The sequence below is a fragment of the Homo sapiens genome, chromosome 5, assembly GCF_000001405.40.
Source record: "Homo sapiens chromosome 5, GRCh38.p14 Primary Assembly".
NCBI classification, from domain to species: domain Eukaryota; kingdom Metazoa; phylum Chordata; class Mammalia; order Primates; family Hominidae; genus Homo; species Homo sapiens.
In genome coordinates, this window is record NC_000005.10 from 117,353,951 (window position 1) to 117,375,335 (window position 21,385).

At 34.3% G+C, this 21,385-nt stretch overlaps 1 long non-coding RNA gene across 1 annotated transcript; it reads left to right on the plus strand.

Moving 5' to 3' along the window:
• Positions 1-3,025: 3,025 nt before the first annotated feature.
• Positions 3,026-16,456, plus strand: LOC105379139 (uncharacterized). The gene is made up of 3 exons (XR_948696.3): positions 3,026-3,127; positions 10,271-10,329; positions 16,349-16,456. It is a non-coding gene; the product is annotated as an uncharacterized LOC105379139 (long non-coding RNA).
• The last annotated feature ends 4,929 nt before the right edge of the window (positions 16,457-21,385 follow it).

A 21,385-nucleotide genomic window follows, 5' to 3' on the forward strand; every position in this document is an offset into this window, starting at 1 on the left:
TCGTAAAAGTGAGTGAGTTTTCACGAGATCTAATGGTTTTATAAGCATCTGGCATTTCCTCTGCTGGCATTCATTCTCTTTCCTGTCGTCCTGTGAAGAGTTTTCTTCTGCCATGATTGTAAGTTTTCTGAGGCTTTCCCAGCCATGTGGAACTGTAAGTCAATTAAATCATCTTTCCTTATAAATTATCCAGTCGGGTATTTCTTCATAGCAGTGTGAGAACGGACTAATACACTAAGTGAAGGATTGAAGCCAATCACTGGCAGCCTTTATGTAGCTGTTCCTTTTAAACCAATGTTTATAAATTGTAAATGTATTTTTATTTTCAAGGGGAAAATATAAGGAGAGTATACGTATGCTGGGGAATTTAATAAGAAATACAATTTTTATTTGTGCATTATTTATTTTACAAATTAGGAATGATCAAAGAAACATGGGTTCTTAATATAGTTACTTTTGGACTGAAATTAAATGATCATTCCATAGGTATAGACATGTAATAAATCATCAACACATATTACAAATGAAAAAACTAAACAAAACATAAAACCTCTAAAGACAAATGCCCTGTCATCTTGTGTGACCTGCAGCAGGGCAGGAGCTCAGGGGACTAATCTTTTAGGTCAATGTTTTTTTCTAAAATATCAAGCAAATTAGTTTCAAATAAAAATATAAATATAGCAAATGTGTATTTTCTCTACCATAATTCTTTGGATTTTTGAATATGGATGTCTTTTTCATGTTGTTTACCAATATAGAAAGAAAACATGGCAGATTCCACAACCTTGAAGAATATTTCTGATATACGCATGCGTATGTCTACGCACGCATGTGTAACCACCTCACATGGGTGAAAGATGAGTTGTATTTGGGATTTAAATCATTGTTTTGTAACCTGACAAGATGCTTTGACAGACTGTTAAGATTGAAGCTACTGTGAAAACTGTTCTTTCATTTACTTTCCAATGCTCAATTATTTTCAGCCTTACCCAAAACAGGGATTCATCACCTCTAGAGAAACGCCAAAAGATGTCAAGATGTAGATTTGTCTTTTTTATTCTTTCCTTGCAAATGAGATTCAATTGTCAAGATGACAAAAGATTCAAGCTGGAAAGAAGCCCCCAGTAAAATGTCAGAACTTCATCACAGTAGGAGTTGCAGCAGGCACATTAGTAAAGTTGGTTCAAGTTGGGCTTGACCTCAAGCCAACCATTAGATTTCTGGAGAGAAATTGCATAGATTTAAAGGGATATAATTTAAAAGGTACAATATAGGTTCATTACATCAGTTATTGATTTGTTCCCTTTTGAACTTCAAAGAATTTCTCGTGTATAACTTTGTGACATGGAAGCAAATAAACACACATACAAAAAGTGTTGTTTATGGTGACCTCATTATTCTCAGTGTTCAGATAATGATCTCGTCTTACATAAAATACTTTGATTTAGAAAACTGTGCGAGGAATTTTTCTGATCCAGATTCTCCTGTGACATAAAAATAATTTTGTGCCTCTGTGTGTACAGTAAAACAGGCTTCATTTGGCTTAGGCATCTCTTTACCCATTTTTGTTTACTCTGGATGTAAGAGCCTTTAACTTTTCTGTACCAAGTAAAATGTATGTCTTGGACATTGGGGTTAACTCTTCAACATTCATGCCAGGTCAGACTATTTCTGTAAGTTAGCCCCAGAGATTTTAATCCTATTGTAGCAATAGGATTAGTTTTAGGCATGTGATCAAATGCTTGCCAGTGAGATATCAGTTTCAGGACAAAAGAATCCACACTCCTAAAAAAAAAAAAACCAAAAAAAAACGCAGGTACCCTTTCCACAGCTGGACATTGGCATGTGTGGAAATGACACTGGGGACAACCTCAGCTTCCTTGTTTTCATGGTGAGGAGGTAACAGGCATTAAGCATGGAAAAGCCTGGCAATAACATGGATACATGTTACTATTGCTGAGCACCTGATCAACCTTGGGACTCACTATACTCAAGTCTTTTTGTAGGAGATAAAGCATTGTCTTACTCTTTAATGCAGTTTAAGCTGCTTTTTCTATTACTTACATCTAAAAAATCCTAATTAAGATAAATTAACTGAATAAACCAGTATCTCTGTATTATAACTACTATATGGGTACTCTAATTTTATATTTTAAAAGGAGGACAAAAGTATTTTTAAAAGTGTCTGCAAGTAGTTCTACAATGACAGTCATGTTTTTATGTAAAAACATTTTGAGAAATATTTCCAACAAGTTCTTCATTCCACTAGCCTTTGAGGCTAAGATATTATTCTGGCTCAATCTAGCTATCTTGGCAGTTTACCACAGTGGTTTATCCCATGAAGTTTGCACTGGATTTAGGACACCTATAGACAACAATATGTATCATTATTATTACTATTATTCTATCATAGCTCAGGTTTGTCAATTGGTTTCTATCTAAAGCTTTGCTATTCTAAGATGTGTTCAGCCCTATGCTGAGTGACTACTGTGATTCTGCCATTTTATCTTTCTATTCTGAGTATGCTGTCTGTTTATATCTGTGTCCTATTTGTCACCTGTATTTTCCACATTAGACCGGAAACATCATTGGATATCAGGATATTGGAAATTGCATTTACATTGTATTTTAGCAAATAAACTTGTTTCCTACTTGAAAAAAAAGAGCTAAAAATGCGTGGTATATTGTGCAAAACATGAAGGCCATAATGCTCCCTGTGTGAGCATGGGTTTCTCCAGTGGCAGAGCCATACACAAGGGCTTGCCTGCAGGTTGTTTATTTGTGCAGCAATCCCAGGGAACGGAGTAAGGGACTATGGAGAGTGAAACAGAGAAGGGAAAAGCAATTAAAAGGGTGCACAATCAAGTTGATACCTCTGTTAGTAACTGGGACTTCATCTTGTTGGGGTTTTCTGACTCAGAATGGGTCTTAGAATTGTCTGCCTAAGAAATATAGGGAGCCGTGTTTATCCGGTAGCTCTCATAACCCACAAGTCCAGGCTCATTTGTAACTATCATTTTTCCAGGCTGCATAAATGTGACTGCCATGGGAGTTCGCAGAAGTATCTCATGAAATGGCCTCTTATGAAGCCCAAGACAGGAAGCAGCAGGTACAGGATTCAGCAGAGGTGAGGTGCTGGCAGTGTACCCATGTGTGCATTTGGCTACTCAAAAGTGATTAGAATGAAAGGTCGATTGACAGGCCTCTAATATATGTATTTTTCTAATACTATAAGCTAATCTCTTCCCCTGCAGTAAAAGATAAGGCATTCTTGTTTAATAATTCCATGACTAATATTTTATGGGCAACATTGATTCTAGAAAGCAAATAGCTAAAAGGAGGGCTATGCTAAAAACTGGAGAAAGAAACAAAATGGATTTGAAGACATAGATAATAAATCATCCACAGACATAAACATTGAGGAAAATACATAGAAAGTAGGAGGACACAGAAGAATATTTCTCAAAGTTGGTGTGCGGAAGTAGTGGGAACCAAATAAGCAAGACATTATTCTCTTCATTATTGAGTGGCCTGGCTAATTTAAGAGATTGGAGATTCTGTGGAGGTATGATTGTATACTATTTATGTGAGAATTCATCACAGATGTGATTGATGCTTGGTTAACAACACCACATACATACCACCAACACCACTAACGCCACATAAGGTGGTATTAGTGTGACTAAGACCACAGAGAAAAGTGATTCTTAGTAGAAGTAAATGCACCACTTTTCATGTGTGACTTCAATGCAGAAGGAATGAGAAGAGACACACAAAAGCAGACTACACAGTAAGAGCCTGAAGGAGACATGTATAGACAGTTTTATGATAATGTCTGCTAGAATTATATGGTTCCATTAACAGCACATACATAGGTGTGTGTGCATATGTACATATACATAAATGCACATTTGTATTTGTCTACATGTATTTGTCTCAGGTTGTTAAAGATACATAAAGTGACATCAAGCTAACCGCGATTCCTTGATTTCAGCAAGCTTTTTGACAAAGTCACTATATTCTTGTAAATATGGTGATGATATCTAGATGGGGCTGTTGCAAAATTAGGTCAGTTTGTGCCTGGTAGAATTACCCATCTCAGAGGGTATTGACTAATGAACAGGTCATTGCCAACAAAAACAGAATTTCTCAGTGGCATGCCCCGGAGATCTGTCCTTGGCAATGCCATGCTTAATTTGCTTATAAATAACTTGGATAAGATTTGAAAAGCATACTTTTCAAAATGTTAACAAGAATAGTGCTGAGGGGAAGAGTTGGTACTCAGCCACACTCTGAGGCTGTGTAGTATTGTGGAAGGAAGATTGGCCTGAAAATTCCTAGCCTTGCTATTTATGCTTTGAGTAGTTGTTGTCAAATTTCCTAACAAGTAAAATGGAGGCAGTTATCTTAAACATAATAAATGAAATGCTTAAAGTTATTTTACTCATTTGCTGGCATATAGGAAACGCTATATTAGAAACATAGCAAATCAGTCAAATTAGTTTGATAAGTGGTAATAAAAAGTCAGAGATGTATTGTAAAATTTATTCCTTTAAAGTTGATCTTAAAAGTTAATTATATAGGTATATAAGAGAAATGCATGAATTTACTTAAATTGTGTTTTAATGCTGGACCTGGGAAGTATAACTGATTTCAAATCCAATATGAGGCAGAAATATACATGCATCTTGTCAGAGTTAATTTACTCAGGGCAGCAATCTTACAAATTTAATGTCCAGACCAAGGCAAGCATTCATTACACTATACTTTGCTGTGGGTACCATCACATTAGGATATTTCTGTCTGGCTTAAGGGAAATATTGACAAAGTCTGACATCTCCATAAAAGGGTGACTAGGATAGCAGAACTTCTTTTTTTTTTTTTTTTTTTTTTTTTTTTTTTTTTGAGACGGAGTCTCGCTCTGTCGCCCAGGCTGGAGTGCAGTGGCGGGATCTCGGCTCACTGCAAGCTCCGCCTCCCGGGTTCACGCCATTCTCCTGCCTCAGCCTCCCAAGTAGCTGGGACTACAGGCGCCCGCCACTACGCCCGGCTAATTTTTTGTATTTTTAGTAGAGACGGGGTTTCACCGTTTTAGCCGGGATGGTCTCGATCTCCTGACCTCGTGATCCGCCCGCCTTGGCCTCCCAAAGTGCTGGGATTACAGGCGTGAGCCACCGCGCCCGGCCCAGAACTTCTGAAAATGTGTTTTATAGTCATGAGAATTACAAAAGAGACATTTAGTATGGCCATGTGAAGAGATATTTGAAGGACAGCATTCTCAAATAAGGACTCTATGCTTATATTCTCTCATCTGCACGGAGTGGAAAGGTAGGTGGAAATCATAGAAATAAATATGGCTGAATTTCCAACTGGGTAGTCTCGTATTTAGAACTGTCAAAAATTAAACAATCCTTTTTACAGGGGAACAAGTTTCATTATTAATGTAAGTCCAGGGACATCTTTTCTGAGTCCTGCATTTGAAAGGCAAATGGCAGAGATTACCACCAAAGCATTTTCTGACACACAAATTCTCAGCCTTCATAATCTCGTAAGCCAATTCTTTGTACGAAATCCCTCTCTCTATATATTAATAGATAGACACACACACACACATGTCCACACACATCCAGTTAGATCTGTTTCTCTGGGGAAATCTGACTAATACAGCATTCATTTCTAAATTCAACATCTTGCTTCTTAGAGTCTAGTTTTGTGCCTGAGGAAATAAAAGCAGTCCAGATTTTACATTGCAGGCAAAGTTATACGGGCCACCTGTTACAATATAAAGTACCCTGTAGATAATTTACCCAATGCTTCAGTTCTCAGAACTTACACACAGACTTTTACCTGAACGTCCACATCATAGTAACCTGTATGCTGTAAACAGAAAGGCAAACACTGTGGCCCGTGACTCTGGCTGATTTAAATAGGCACACATTAAAAAAGTTTATACCTTTAAAAAACATTAACAGTGCCTGGGTTTTAATTATTGTTATGGAAATAGTGTGTGGGTCTGTATAGATAACTTACATAAATACAAATGAGGAAATAAAAATCTATAATAATCCATAGTTTTACTTATATTTGTTGTGGAATAGGCCTTATTAATCATAACATAAATTTAAAAATCTTCAGAATAATAAAAATAAAATAAATAATAATGGTTAATAATTTAATCATCATAAAAACCTATGCAGTGGCTGATATTATTATACTTATTTTAGAAAAGAGATAAAACCAAAGCTCAGGGAGTTAAGTAATTTGCACATGGTCACACAGGTGCTAATTGGCAGAGCCAAGGTTGGACCTCTGAAATTTGACTTCAGAGTGGATGTGCTTAACCATTGTGTTTCCTGAGACAAAGTAACCTTTAGAAAGTTTAAAAACGAGAAAGAATGGAAAACAAGCAAACACAGAGTTCACTGAGTATATTTATATTTGAATGTTAATATCCAACATATATAAAGACCTTCAACACAGTTATAAGAAACAGGTAATTGATCTAATATAGAAAAAGGTAATGAATATGATTAGGTAATTGAAAAAACATAAAAGTGTATTCAAGTTTATCAATGTCATTATCAATCAGAAAAATACAATTGTAAAAATAAAGTTTTATTTTTTCATTAAAATAGCGCAATTTAGCAGAAAATTAATAACTAGCATTGATTGGCAAAACAGTTAAAAATAAACATTTTCGTACAATATAACTAGAAACAAATTTTTCTGAGGGAAATTCAGTATCATCAAAATTTTGAAATTTGAAATTCATATCCTTTAACGCTTCTAAGACATCTTATAGATATACACACGTACAAAAAAATTTATGAATAACTTGAGCATGGTTTTTAATAGAACAAAATTTGCAAATAACTCAAATGTCTAACACAGGAGTATATTCAACTTGTGATAATAATGATTTTCATATTTATGAAGACTTTATTGTATCACATATTGTACCAATATTTTATACACATTATTTTTTCTAATGGAAATAAATATTAATCATCAGGTTTTATTAATGTGCCCATTCCTATACGTGGAAACTGAGTCTTAAAAAGTTTACTGATTTGATTGAGATCACATAGTAATAAAGTGAGAAATCAGGATCTGCACCATAAGCTATGCTCACCAATTCTGTAGCATTCTTTGATGTGACTAAAAGAAGGTGGCTCTTGACACGGAAATGTCAGTAAGACACATGTTCAATAAAGAAAGTAAGTTGCAGTGTGTACTCTTGACAGTATTTGCTTATTGCTTTCATTGAAAAATTAACACAATCAGTTTTCCTATCGTGCTCCTTAATTTTTGTTGCTTGTTTGCAAGGGCTTAAACTAATTTTGCTTGCTCTTGTGTTTTCCAAGTTCCCATGAATCTGTTTCTTAAATACATCTTCTGTGTAGGTAATTTTATTGTTTTTCTTACAGAACAATTCTGAGACTATTTTTTATATTAATAAAGTTATAGGTTTAAATTTTGATATATGTGATTGATCTGAATTGTGTCATCTTATTTCATGTGTTCTGGTTTTTAAAGCTTTGTTAATTTGGTTTTCTAGTTTTATAACATGGACTTACATTTTTTGTATTGTGTGAATATATATGATTGTTCTCATAATTTTGTTCCCATAATTTTATTACGTGTTTTAGGTTTTCTAAAGATCGTCTAATATAAAAATATTAATTATAAATATATAATTTATTAATATAGTTTAATATTAGTAAAGTATAATTATTAGTAAATAGTGCATTTATTTATTAATAACTATGCAACTATAAACATGTAATAATTTATTATATCAATGAATATATTATATATTAATATTTATTATTATAAATATTATTTGCTATTATAAACATTAACAAATATTTATTAATATAGCTTACCAAGTATATTAAGTGTCCTTTGACTTGCATATCAGAAAAATGAAGAAATTATTGTATTTTAACCTTCTCACTGCTGCCTTCATCCCTATAATTTTATTCATCTTCCTGTTTTTATTAGCTTTTGTTGCTCTTCCTGACTCTGCCACTTACTAGCTGTTTAACCTTTCACAGTGTTTTAATTTGTCTATGACTCAGTCTCCTCTTCCTTTTTTTTTTTTTTTTTTTTTTTTGAGATGAGTCTTGCTCTGTCGCCCAGGCTGGAGTGCAGTGGCGCGATCTTGGCTCACTGCAAGCTCCGCCTCCCGGGTTCACGCCACTCTCCTGCCTCAGCCTCCCGAGTAGCTGGGACTACAGGCGCCTGCCACCACGCCTGGCAAATTTTTTTTGTACTTTTAGTAGAGACGGGGTTTCACCAGGTTAGCCAGGATGGTCTCGATCTCCTGACCTCCTGATCCGCCCGCCTCGGCCTCCCAAAGTGCTGGGATTACAGGCGTGAGCCACCGCGCCCGGCCAGTCTTCTCTTCTATAAAATTAGAATAATAATATCTCAAAGGGTTGTTACAGTCTTACTTTTATTATTTGTCTTATTATTATTCTAATAATGCCTATGATAGTCTCTAACCTGAGATGTTAATTTATTATTTTAAACATTTACTTCTACCATATAAGATGAGAAATTTGGCACATGTAATTCTTTAATCCCCTACTTATTTTTCTCCCGATATTTGTTACTGATATTTTTGTGTTAGGTATTGTTTTCCTTAATATTTAAATTTTAACTAATAGACTCTAATGAATATGCCTTGATTTTTATTATAATTTTTCCTCTGAGATATAAATATTAATCTACGTTTATTTTTATGATTTCATTCATTTGTACAGTAAATGGTTTATTTAAATTCATGTATTTTGGAAATACGGTATGAAGTGAGAAATAAAGTTGTCTTTGTTTTCTAAAATATTAATCAGTTGTCCTAACACTAATTATTGGATTGTCTCCCTTATTTCTATTTATTTAAAATACTACTAATAATATACAGAAAATACTTAAAATAATTTAATTTTGTTGCTTAATATTTCTACCTGTTTTGTTTATCTAACTGCTTTATGCAATCATTTAGTCACTTAACATTTATCAACTGAGTGCCCCCAGTATGCAACTTAGTACCTGGCCAGAGGACTGGGATAGGAAGGGAAGCAAAAGAGATAAAATATCTGCCCTCACCGATTACTCTCTAGTGCGCTGTCTGTCATTGTAAGAGCTTAAGAGGAGAATGGAGGAACAATTTTCAAGCTGTTTGTACACAGAACCACTGTGCTAAATTTGAGTAAGCAATGTATGCCTTCTTATGATTTCTTTCAAGTCTACACATATATGAATAAATATGTGTGTATGAGGTTTTACTGAACTGTAGAAAAACATACAATAAAATTCCTGCCGAACTGGATTTACCATGTGCCTTGCTCTATCACAACAAAAAAGTTAGTATCACACTCTTTCAACTATTACAATTCATTGATACAATTTAAAATGTAATAGTACAAATTGCTAATACAATTTTGCTTTCAGAAATTCCTTGACTATTGACACATTTAATTTCCCAAATGAATGTTAAAATGATTTTGCTACTTTCTCTGAAATGCTTTAACATTGTGATTTACATTAAAATATACAATTTATTGATTTGAAATTTATGTCTTTATGAAATTGTTTTTCCATGAGAAGCAAGGTACGTCTATACATTTGAATCCTGTTCTGCCGCTTGATAGAGTTATGTAATTGTATTCTATAGGTTTTGCATATTTTTGTTGGAAATTGTTTTTTTCTGTTAAAAATATGAATGAAATTTTTTATTGCATCCCATTTATTGCTAGAATATTTTTTAAAAGACTTATTTATTGCAAACATTTTTTGTGTGGCCACTTTTAAAATTATTAGTAGTCCTAATAGTATTTTAGTTGAATATCTTAAAATTTATAAACAACTATATTGTCAGTAAACAGTTATTTTGTCTTCTCACATTTGTTTCATATCTTATTGCCTGACACTTCATTTAGAACATTGACAAAAATTGTGAAGGTACTCATGTATCTAGTCTTACTCTTGATCACAGTGAGAATGCCCCTAAAGTTTTCCTAAGTATGATGTTTACTTTTAGTTTTAAACATCAAACTACGATGAGAAAGATGCTTCTTAACATGTTTCTTTTCAATGGAGGCATAGTTTATGTACGATAAAACACCCATATCTTCATAATTCAATTATGTAAGTTTTTAAAATTGTATACACCTATGCATCCAGTATCCCTCAAAATAATACAAATATTTCTCTATTCAGAAAGTTTTCTTGCACCACTATCTAATCAATTTCTCATATTTTACAGAGCAATAACTTTCTGATTTCTGATGCCACAGATTAGTTGTGCCTATCCTTTTAATTCATGTAAGTGGAATCATATTACTTACCTGTGTGTGTGTGTTTGTCTTCCATCATTCATTATATTTTTGAGAGTTTTTTTTACATTAATCAGCAGCTTGTTCTTTTTCCTTACTGAATAATCTTTCATTATGTGGCTATACCGTAATTTATACATCCTCTCTCCTGATGATGGATATCTGAGTTGTTTTCAATTCTGACCATTTTACAATTTTAGATAAGGCTGCTATGAACTTTCTTGTACAAGTCTTTTTTGTAGACATGTGTTTTTATTTTGGGTTGTAAGAGTGGAATGCTAAGAATGGAATTGAAGTGTACATTTAACTTTAAAAGAAACTGCCAAATAGTTATCCAGTGTGAGAACAATATATGGTAGTCCCAATTGTTTCACATCCTCACTTACATTTAATGCTGTTAGCATTGACTGATAGCTCATAAACTAATGACGAAAAAGTTTCTATACTTAATGGCCATTCATATGCCTATTTTTTATTGTCTTTTCAAATTTTTGCCCATATTTTATTATTGTTGTTTTTAAGGTTGAGTAGCAAAATGTCTTTGTATATTCTAGACACAAGTCTTTCGTCAGATATGTATTTAACAGATATTTTCTCTAAATCTGTGGCTTGCCTTGCATTTTCTTAATAGTGTCTTTTAATAAGTAATTATTTTTTATTTTGTAAGTCCAATTTACCACTTTCTCTCTTTAATGGTTGGTGCTTTTTGTAACTTATGCAGGACATCTGTGCCTGCACCAAGATAACGAAGGTATTTTCTTGCATCCTTCAGAAGCTTTATGGTTTTTGGTTTTACAAGTTTGTTTCTCATCTTTTTTAAAAAAAACCAGGAATGGGTATTAAATTTTCTTCAAACATCTTTTTAAGTCTATTAAGATAATCAAAAGTAATAAATTAATTTTAGAATAAAGTTCTTATTTCAAATTTTGAATGCTATATTTTATGTGTGCTGAGGATCTTTCAAATCCCTCTCCTTATGTTTTATTGGTGTTATTTGCTTGTTTGGATTTATTTATTCAGATACATTCCTTATATGTACATTTTAACATCAGTAGATGTTAACATATATTAAAAGTTATTCTTAAAGTGTTCTCGACAAACACCAGACACAAATGGTAACTATGGGTGGGAAAACAAATATATTAATTTGATTCTGGTAATAATTACACAATGTTTATATCAAATCATCATGTTATACACCTTGAATATATGTATATATAATTTTTCATGTTAATATTAAAAGATGTTCCTCCAGGTTTTTATCTCTATTCACCTGTTTTTTATTAGAATATTCTTTGTCAAATGATAAACTCAAAAATCTTAATAGTATCTTCTCCTGAGCTAGTTTCTGTCATGTAGCTAAAATGGATCTCCTTAAATAGTTTCCTATTTTCTGTACGCTATAAAAGAAACGAATTCTTAGGCAACCTAAATCATTCTATAGTTCTTTAGTCAATCTAGTAATGCATTAATTGGGCAAATATTTATTGAATGCCTACTATATTTTGGGGATAGTGTTATGGATTGAAGACACAGCAGTGGGAAATGTACACAGTGCCCACATTTATGGAGCTTATATTTTAGTGTGAGACAAACATTAAATAATAAATTATGTTATTATTAATTTAATTTCACTTAGGAGGGATGTTATGAAGGCCATGTACAAGGTGCTAAAGTGAGCCTTTTACAGTGGAGCCTGACCTGCTCAGAAAAGATCAGGGAAGACCTTTTTGAAGATATGTTTTTCTTAGAGTGAGTTCTGAAGAATGGATAAGAGTTAGCTAGGAGAAGGGAGGGTGCACAGGAAGAATATCTGAGAAGGAAGGAACAAAGCAGACAATGCAGAATAACTCCTGTAGTTGACTCTTTAACCTCAGGCCATGGGTCCTCAAATCCATGGATTCTGAAATCTGCCCCCATCTTAAAAGTTCCTTTATACATTACAGCAGATTTCAGTTCTGAAATGTGTGTGTGAAAATATTTTTAAGAATATATGTATCAGGCTGGGCACAGTGGCTCACACCTGTAATCCTAGCACTTTGGGAGGCCGAGGTGGTGGCTCGCTTGAACTCAGGGGTTTGAGACCAGCCTGGACAATATGGCAAAACCACGCCTCTACAAAAAAATACAAAAATTAGGTAGACATGGTGACGCAGCCTTGTGATCCCAGCTACTGGGGAGGCTGAGGTGGGCTGATCACTTGAGCCAGGGAGGTGGGGTTGTAGTCAGCTGACCTTGAGCCACTGTGCTTCAGCCTGGGAGACAGAAGGAGACGCTGTTTCAAAAAATATATATATAAAATATATGTGTCAGTTTTTGTTAGTGCTGAGCCTGTATCCCCTTCATATTCACTTCTACTTGCCAAGGATTTTTTATTTTCAAAAATTTAAAATATTTAATTGCTAGATAAAAATTATATATATTCAGGGTATATAACATGGTGATTATATATATATATATATATATATATATATATATATATATATATATATAAACATTGTGCAATGATTACCAGAATCAAATTAATATATATGCTCCCACCCATAGTTACCATTTAAGTGTACATTGAGAGCACTTAATATTTGCTCTCATAAAATTTCAAGAAGACATGAATAAAGTATTATTAACTAGAGCCACCATAATTTGATGCTGTACGCTAAATCTCCAGAACTTATTTATCTTAGAACTAAAATTTTACACACTTTGACAAACAGATCTTCATTTCCCCTACCCTCTAGCATCTGACCACCATTGTTCTAATGTCTGCTTCTAAGAGTTTGACTTTCTTAGGCTCCAAATATAAGCAAAATCATGCAGTATGTCTCTTTTTGTGTTTGACTTATTTCACTTGGCATAATGTCCTCCAGGTTCATTCTTGTTGTCACAAATGACAGGATTTCCTTCTTTCATATGGCTGAATAATATTCAATTTTACATTTGTATATAAAATATATTAATGGACATGTTAATACATAAAATATACAAAATATTAACATCCATTATGTAAAATATAAGAGGCATATTAATATATAAAATATATATATTGCATTTTTTGAATCCATGCATTCACTGATGATTACCTAGGTTATTTCCGTGTCTTGACTATTGCAAATAATGCTGCAATGAACATAATACTAATTTTATTTCCTTTGGATATATACCAGAAGTGGCATTGCTGGGTCACGTGGTAGTTCTATTTTTAAAATTTTAAGGAAATTTCATATTATTTTTCATAATAATTAAAACTTCTGCATAGCAAAGAAAATAACAAAATAAAAAGGCAACCTATGAGATGGGAGAACATATTTGTGAACAATGCATCTGATGAGTTAGTATCAAAAATATATAAGGAATTCACACAACTCAATAGAAAAAATAAAAATAACCCTACTAAAAATAGGTAGAGGACCTGAAGAGATTTTTTTTTCAAAGAAAACATATAAATAGTCAACATATATGTGAAAAGGTGTTCAACATCACTGTCACAGAAACACAAATAAAAACCATAACATGATATCATATCAGAAAGGCTATTATCAAAAATATGAGAGATAACACGTGTGGGTGAGGCTGTGAAGAAAAGCAAAGCCTTGAGCACTGTTGGTGGGAATGAAAATTGTCATAGCCAGGAAGCCAAGATATTCTAATTGAGAACACCTACACCTCTTTGCCTCAGAGCCTTTTTTGCTGGAGCCATGTTCAACTCAAGCAACGGCAGCTGAAAGGGCCAGAAGTCTACACTCTAGGGAACACTTTTCAGCCAGTGGATGCCAGTGTCATAGGATAATTAGCATCACCTTCTTGTCCTACAGTTGGGAAACCTCTAAGGAGCATTTTAAACTCTACCCCAGTGTACCCCAGTGGGATTGAGCTGTAGTTTTCTTCATAACACGAACAATTTTGATTTTGTTACACTCTTGTATCTTCTCCATATTCTACTTCCAGTGTTTCTTAGTATTACCTCCTAAATAGATTACCTGGTGATATGGTTTGGCTGTGTCCCCACCCAAATCTCACCTTGAATTGTAATTATCCCCATGTGTCAAGGGCAGGGCCAGGTGAAGATAATTGAATCATGGTGTCGATTTCCCCTACAATGTTCTCATGGTAGTGAATAAGTCTCATGAAAGCTGATGGTTTTATAAATGGGAGTTCCCCTGCACAAGCTCTCTTGCTTGCCATCATGTAAGATGTGCCCTTGCTCCTCATTCGCTTTCTGCCATGACTGTGAGGCCTCCCCAGCCATGTGGAACTGTGAGTCAATTAAACTGCTTTCCTTCATAAATTACCCAGTCTCAGATATGTCTTTATTAGCAGCATGAAAAAACAGATTAATACAGTAAATTGGTACCACTGTAAAGATACCCGAAAACGTGGAAGTGACTTTGGAACTGGGTTACAGGCAGAAGTTGGAACAGTTTGGAGGGCTCAGAAGAAAACTGGAAGATGTGAGAAAGTTTTGAGTTTTCTAGAGACTTGTTGAATGGCTTTGACTAAAATGCTGATAGTGATATAGACAATAAAGTCCAGTCTGGAATGGTCTCCGATGCATGTGAGGAACTTGTTGGGAACCGAAGTAAAGGTGACTCTTGCTATGTTTTGACAAAGAGTCTGGTGGTAGAGATTTGTGGAATTTTGAACTTGAGAGAGATGATTTAGGGTATCTGGCAGAAGAAATTTCTAAATGTCAAAGCATTCAAGAGGAAGCAGAGCATGAAAGTATGGAAAATTTGCAGCCTGATGATGCACTAGAAAAGAAAAAACAATTTTCTGGAGAGAAATCCAAGCCTGCTGCAGAAATTTGCATAACTACCAAGGAGCCAAATGTTAATCATGATGACAATGGGGAAAATGTATCCAGGGCATGTCAGAGATCTTCTTGGCAGCCTTTCCAACACAGGCCCAGAGGTCCAGGAGAAAAAAATTGGTCTCCTAGACTGGGTCCTATGCTGAGTGCAGCCTAGGGACTTGGTGCCTTTCCTCTCAGGTACTCCAGCTGTTGCTAAAAGGAGCCAAGGTACAGCTTGGGCCATGGCTTCAGAGAGTGCAAGCTCCAAGCTTTCACAGCTTCTATGTAGTGTTGAGCCTGTGGGTGAACAGAAGTCAAGAATTAAGGTTTGGGAACAGTGCCTGGATTTCAGGTGATGTATGGAAACGCCTAGATGTCTAAGCAGAAGTTTGTTGCGGGAGTGCGGCCCTCATGGAGAACCTCTGCTAGGACAGTGTAGAAGGGAAATTTGGGTTGAAGCCCCCACATAGAGTCCCCATTGGGGCACTGCCTAGTGGAGCTGTGAGAAGAGGGCCATCATCCTCTGGACCCCAGAAAGGTAGATCCACCAACAGCTTGCACCATGCACCTGAAAAAGCTGCTGACACTAAACACCAGCTGTGAAGGCAGCTGGGAGGGGCCCTGCACCCTACAAAGCCACAGGCAGGGCTGCCCAAGACCATGGGAACACACTCTTGCATCACTGTGACCTGGATATGGGACATGGAGTCAAAGGAGATCATTTTGGAACTTTAAGGTTTAATGGCAATGGCTGCTCTATTGGATTTCAGACTTGCATGGGGCCTTTAGCCCCTTTGTTTTTGACAATTTCTCCCATTTGGAATGGGTATATTAACCCAATGCCTGTACCCACATTGTATCTAAGAAGTAACTAACTTGCTTTTGATTTTACAGACTCATAGGTGGCAGGGAATTGCCTTGTCTCAGATGAGAGTTTAAACTTGGACATTTGTGTTAATGCTGAAATGAGTTAAAACTTTGGGGGCCTGTTGGAAGGGCATGATTGTGTTTTGAATTGTGATGACATGAGATTTGGGAGGGGCCAGGGCTGGAATGATACGGTTTGGCTGTGTCCTCACCCAAATCTCACCTTGAATTGTAATAATCCCCACATGTCAAGGGTGGGGCCAGATGGAGATAATTGAATCATGGGGGCAATATCCCCCATATTGTTCTCATAGTAGTGAATAAGTCTCATGAGATCTGATTATTTTTTAAGTGGGAGTTCCTCTGCACAAGCTCGCTTGCCTGCCACCATGTAAGATGTGCCCTTGCTCTTCATTCTCCTTCTGCCATCATAGTGAGGTCTCCTCAGCCATGTGGAACTGTGAGTTAATTAAAACTCTTTGCTTTATAAATTACCCACTCTTGGGTATGTCTTTATTAGCAGTGTGAGAACAAACTTATACACCTGGTCATATCTTTGTCCCTGTGATAAGCCAAACAAAGCCATTCATTACTGGAGGAAGTCCCTGAAAAGAAATTCTTAGAATAGGTTCCTTTGAATGGGATCACTTATCTCCTTGAGTAGCTGAAGTTTTTAATTTTGATGAAGCCCAAATTATTAATTGAGTTTTCTTTTAAGATTAATATTTTTAGGCCTGGATGGTGGCTCACACCTATAATCCCAGGACTTTGGGAGGCTGAGGCAGGCAGATTGCTTGAGGCCAGGGGTTCAAGACTAGCCTGGGCAATATGGCAAAACCCCATCCCTACCTCAGAAAACACAAACAAAATTTAGCTGGGCATGGTGGTTTGTGCCTGTAGTCCCAGCTACTCAAGAGGCTAAGGTGGGAGAATTGCTTGAGTCCGGCAGTTGGAGGTTGCAGTGAGACAAGATTTCACCACTGCACTCCAGCCTGGGTGACAGAGTGAGACTGTCTGAAACAAACAAACAAACAAACAAACAAAAAAAACCACACAAGTATTTTTGGAAATTTGTTAAGAAATCTTTGTCTATTTACATAAGAGTTCCAAAAATATTTTAATATGTTATTGTCTAGGAACTCCATACTTTTTGAATTTTATATTTAATCTGCATTCTATTTTAAACTAAAATTTATATATGGTGTGAAGTATGATTACAGCACCACCTGTTGAATTGACTTCCTTTGCCCTTTAAATTGCTTTGAATTATTCATCGAATATCATTTGATTATATTTGCTTGAGGCCATTTCTGCCCTTTCTTTTAAGCTGTATTCCTCCATTTGTTTATATTTATGCTAATACCATATTCACTAAAACATATAGTAAGTTATTTAAATACCACTTGAAACAAATTTTTAGTAAAACTTTAAGACTTCTAAAATTGTCCACTTTTTTTTCAAGGAAATTTTGACAATTTTAAGTTCTTTATATTTTCTTTTTCTTTTTTTTTTGTGAGACAGAGTTGTACTGTGTTGCATAGACTTGCGTGCAGTGTTGTGATCTCAGCTTACTGCAACCTCTGCGTCCCATGTTCAAGCAATTCTCCTGCCTCAGCCTCCCGAGTAGCTGGGATTACAGGCACACACCACCATGCCTGGCTAATTTTTGTATTTTTAATAGAGACAGGGTTTCACCATGTTGGCCAAGGTGGTCTCAAACTCCTGACCTCATGATCTGCTTGCCTCGGCCTCCCAAAGTGCTGAGATTACAGGCGTGAGCCACCATGCCTGGCCTGGTTCTTCATATTTTCATATAAAATGTTAGTTTATCAATTTCTGCTGAAAAGCCCTGATGATATTTTAATTGATATAGCATTTTATTTTTTTAATTAGATATGATTACGCTATTTAAAATTTTTCTTCTTTCTACATGTAAGAATGATAATCCTCTCCTTTTACTTAATTCTTTAAACTTTCTAAGGAATGCCATACAGTACATTAGAGTTCTTATACATGTTATTAAATTTGTTCTTAAGTAGTTTACATATTCCTGTGCTATTTATTTTTAATTTTATTTTCAGCATTTTTTGTTAGTATATTGAAATATAACTTATTTCTTATATTAGATTTAGCATTTTTGTAGATTCCTTTAGCGTTTCTTCATAGAAATCATGCTTTCTGGAAGTTTTATTTCTCATATTCCAACCTTTATATATTTTATTTCTTATTTTATCTTACTTCATTAGAATCTCTAGTGTGAAAGTGAATAGAAGAGATATGAGTGTATATACTTTGCCTCATTCTGATTTTAGTCTTAGGGCAAAAGCACTCATGAGTTCACCATTAAAAGTGCTTTTATATATGTGCCTTTTATCAAATTTAGGAAGTTTTCTTCTATTACTAGGTAGCTAAGTGATGTCATCATGAATAGGTGTTGGATTTTGTCAGAAGGCGTTTTCTGCTTCTAGTGAATAATAACATTATTTATCTTCTTGATTCTATTAATGTGATGAATTACAGTGTTGATTTTAGGTATCAAATTAAGTTTGCCTTTCTGGACACACTCCACTGGCCATGATTTATTATTATTATTAATTTTTATATTGCTGAACTTGATTTTCTTAGTCTTTGCAAGGATTTTCTATTTCATGAGGGATATTGGGCTATATTTTCTTCCTTTAATGTCTTTGTCAGCCTTTGGTTTTGCTGTTAATCCAACCTAATGAAATAAAATGATGAGCCTTCTCTCCATCTTCTATTTTCTGAAAAAGTTTGTGTAATATTAACATTAGTTACTCTTTGTATGTTTAGTAGTATTCATGGAGGAAACCATCTGTGCCTATTTTCATCTTTTTGAGAAGGCTTTGGAATTTATTTAGTTTCTACATATTTTCTACTTATTTTAATAAATTATTTTTGTTCAGTACCTTTTTCCATTTTATCTACATTACTAATTTGTAATTTGTAATTCAGTAATTTCTAATTTTTTTTTAGTGCCTATTGGATCTGTAGTGATAGCCCATTTTCATTCTTAATATTAAGAATTTATACTTTTTTCTATTATTTTTGCTAAGTTTATCACTTACATTAAGCATTCTAAAGAAACAAATTATGACTTTGTCAATTTTATCAATTATTGTCTGTCTTCTACTGTTATGTTTATTTGTTTTTCTCTACTTACTGTGGGTTTATTTTGCTCTTTTTTCTGCTAACATTTTTAGGTGAATGCTTAGATCATCAACCACAAACTACAGCCCACAGGCCAGATATCTGTTTTTAAGAATGAGGTTTTATTGGAACATAGCTACACTCATTCATTTATGTAGTATTTATGGCTGCTTTTGTGTCACAATGGCAGAGTTCAATAGTTGCTGTAGAGACCATTGTCCATAAATCTAAAATATTTTTTGCCAGACTCCTTAAGAAAAAATATGACAATCTCTAGCTTAGATCACTAATTATAGAAATTTCTTTTCCATTATAAACTTCTAAAGGTTTGAAATATCCTTTAAGCTTCACCATAATTACATCTCACAAATTTTATGCTGTGCTTTTATTTTTATTCATTTCAAAATGTTTTCTCATTTCTCCTTTCTTCTTTGACTCTAGGGTTAGGTAGATACCTGTTGCTTAATTTACAAATAATTGAGAATTTTGTCATTTTTTTGTTTTTGATTTCTAATTTTGTGTTTACCTCAGATACAATATGCACAAAATGATAATTTCAATTCTTTGAACTGTATTAAGATGTGTGACCTGGTATAATGTCTACCTTGATATATGTTACATACGCACTTGAAAATAATACATCCTCTGCAGCTGTTAAGTATAGTGTTCTATAAATTTCTATTTGGTCAAGTTGGTTGATACTATAGTTTAGATTTTCTACATCTTTACTTGGTTTTTGTCTATCTATTCTATCAATCAACAAAAGGAGGGTATTTATATTCAAATATGGGTGTGGATATGTCTGTTTTTATGTTTAATGCTGTCAATTTCTGCTTTATATTTTTAAGAATTCTGTAATTAGATTCATGTAAACTTGGGATTTTTCATGATTCTTTGATTAATTGGTGCTTTATAATTTTAAGTTATTCTCTATCTCTGATGCTATTTCTTGTTCCGAGATTTACTTTGTCTGACACATAGCCAAACTAGCTTTATTATGATTTTTGTTTACCATAGTGTATCTTATTCCATACTGTATCCATACTTATTCCATACTTATTCCAGGCTATCTGTATCTTCCTATATGTATCTTTATATTTGAAATGTGTCTCTTTTAAGAACAATATAGTTGGGTCTCTTTTGTTTATTTCTAATAATTCACTCTGAAAATTTCTTCTAATTGGAGTTCTTAGCTCATTTACATTTAATGTTAAATGTTGATATTTTTTGGTTTAAATCTACCATCTGGCTATTTGTGTTTTAATTTTTTTAGGGACAGGGTCTTGCTATGTTGCCCAGGGCGGTCTTATACTCCTGGCCTCAAGTGATCCTCCTGCCTCAGCCTCCCGAAGTGCTGAGACTACAAGGCATGAGTAAGTGAGCCCAGCCCTGTCTATTTGTTTTTATGTATTCCCTTTGTTGCTACTGCTTTCCCTGAGATTCTTATTTTTTTCTCTCTTTTGTAGCAATCATGCATTTTTTAGTATTTCATTTAAAATACTTTTTTCATTTCTACCTATACCTCTTTGTTTATCCAGTTTTTAATGGTTGCCCTAGAGACTAGAATATATATGCTTAAATTATAAAAGTCTGTCTTGAAATAATGTAATGCAACTTTACACAAAATGTAAAAATCTCTCTCTCAATGCTATAATTTCATTTAGTACCTCATTCTGTATTTTTGTGATATATTTACAACTACATATGGTGAAATTCCATAATATAATGCTATTATTATTCTTCAGCCTGGAGAACGTACTTCAGTACTTTGTGTAAAGTAGGTTTTATACATCTTTTGACATGCTAATTGGACTCAGAACTTTATACATGTTCTTATAATTATAGAATAATGTGGTCTTAGCATAGCCTGATTTATCTGTATTACATGCACATTTCTAAGTGGAAGAATTATAGGGACATGATTGAAAACACTCAGAACACCTAGACCAAAACCCAGAAGGAGTAACCAAACTATAATCATAACCAAATGACCAAATATCTAAGTTCTAAGATCAGTTATTGTCAACATCCACGTCAAGTCAGTTTTACTGCTAAAGGCATGTCATCAGAGCTGACAGTCAGTGATGATGCTTGGAGGCATAAGAAGGAAAGATCCTATGATTACAGTATCTGCTACTTTCCAGTTTTATATATCTTGGGGATAAAAGTTAATTTGGTTCTCAGAACAACTCTGCAATACAAGTTTTATCACTCCTATTTC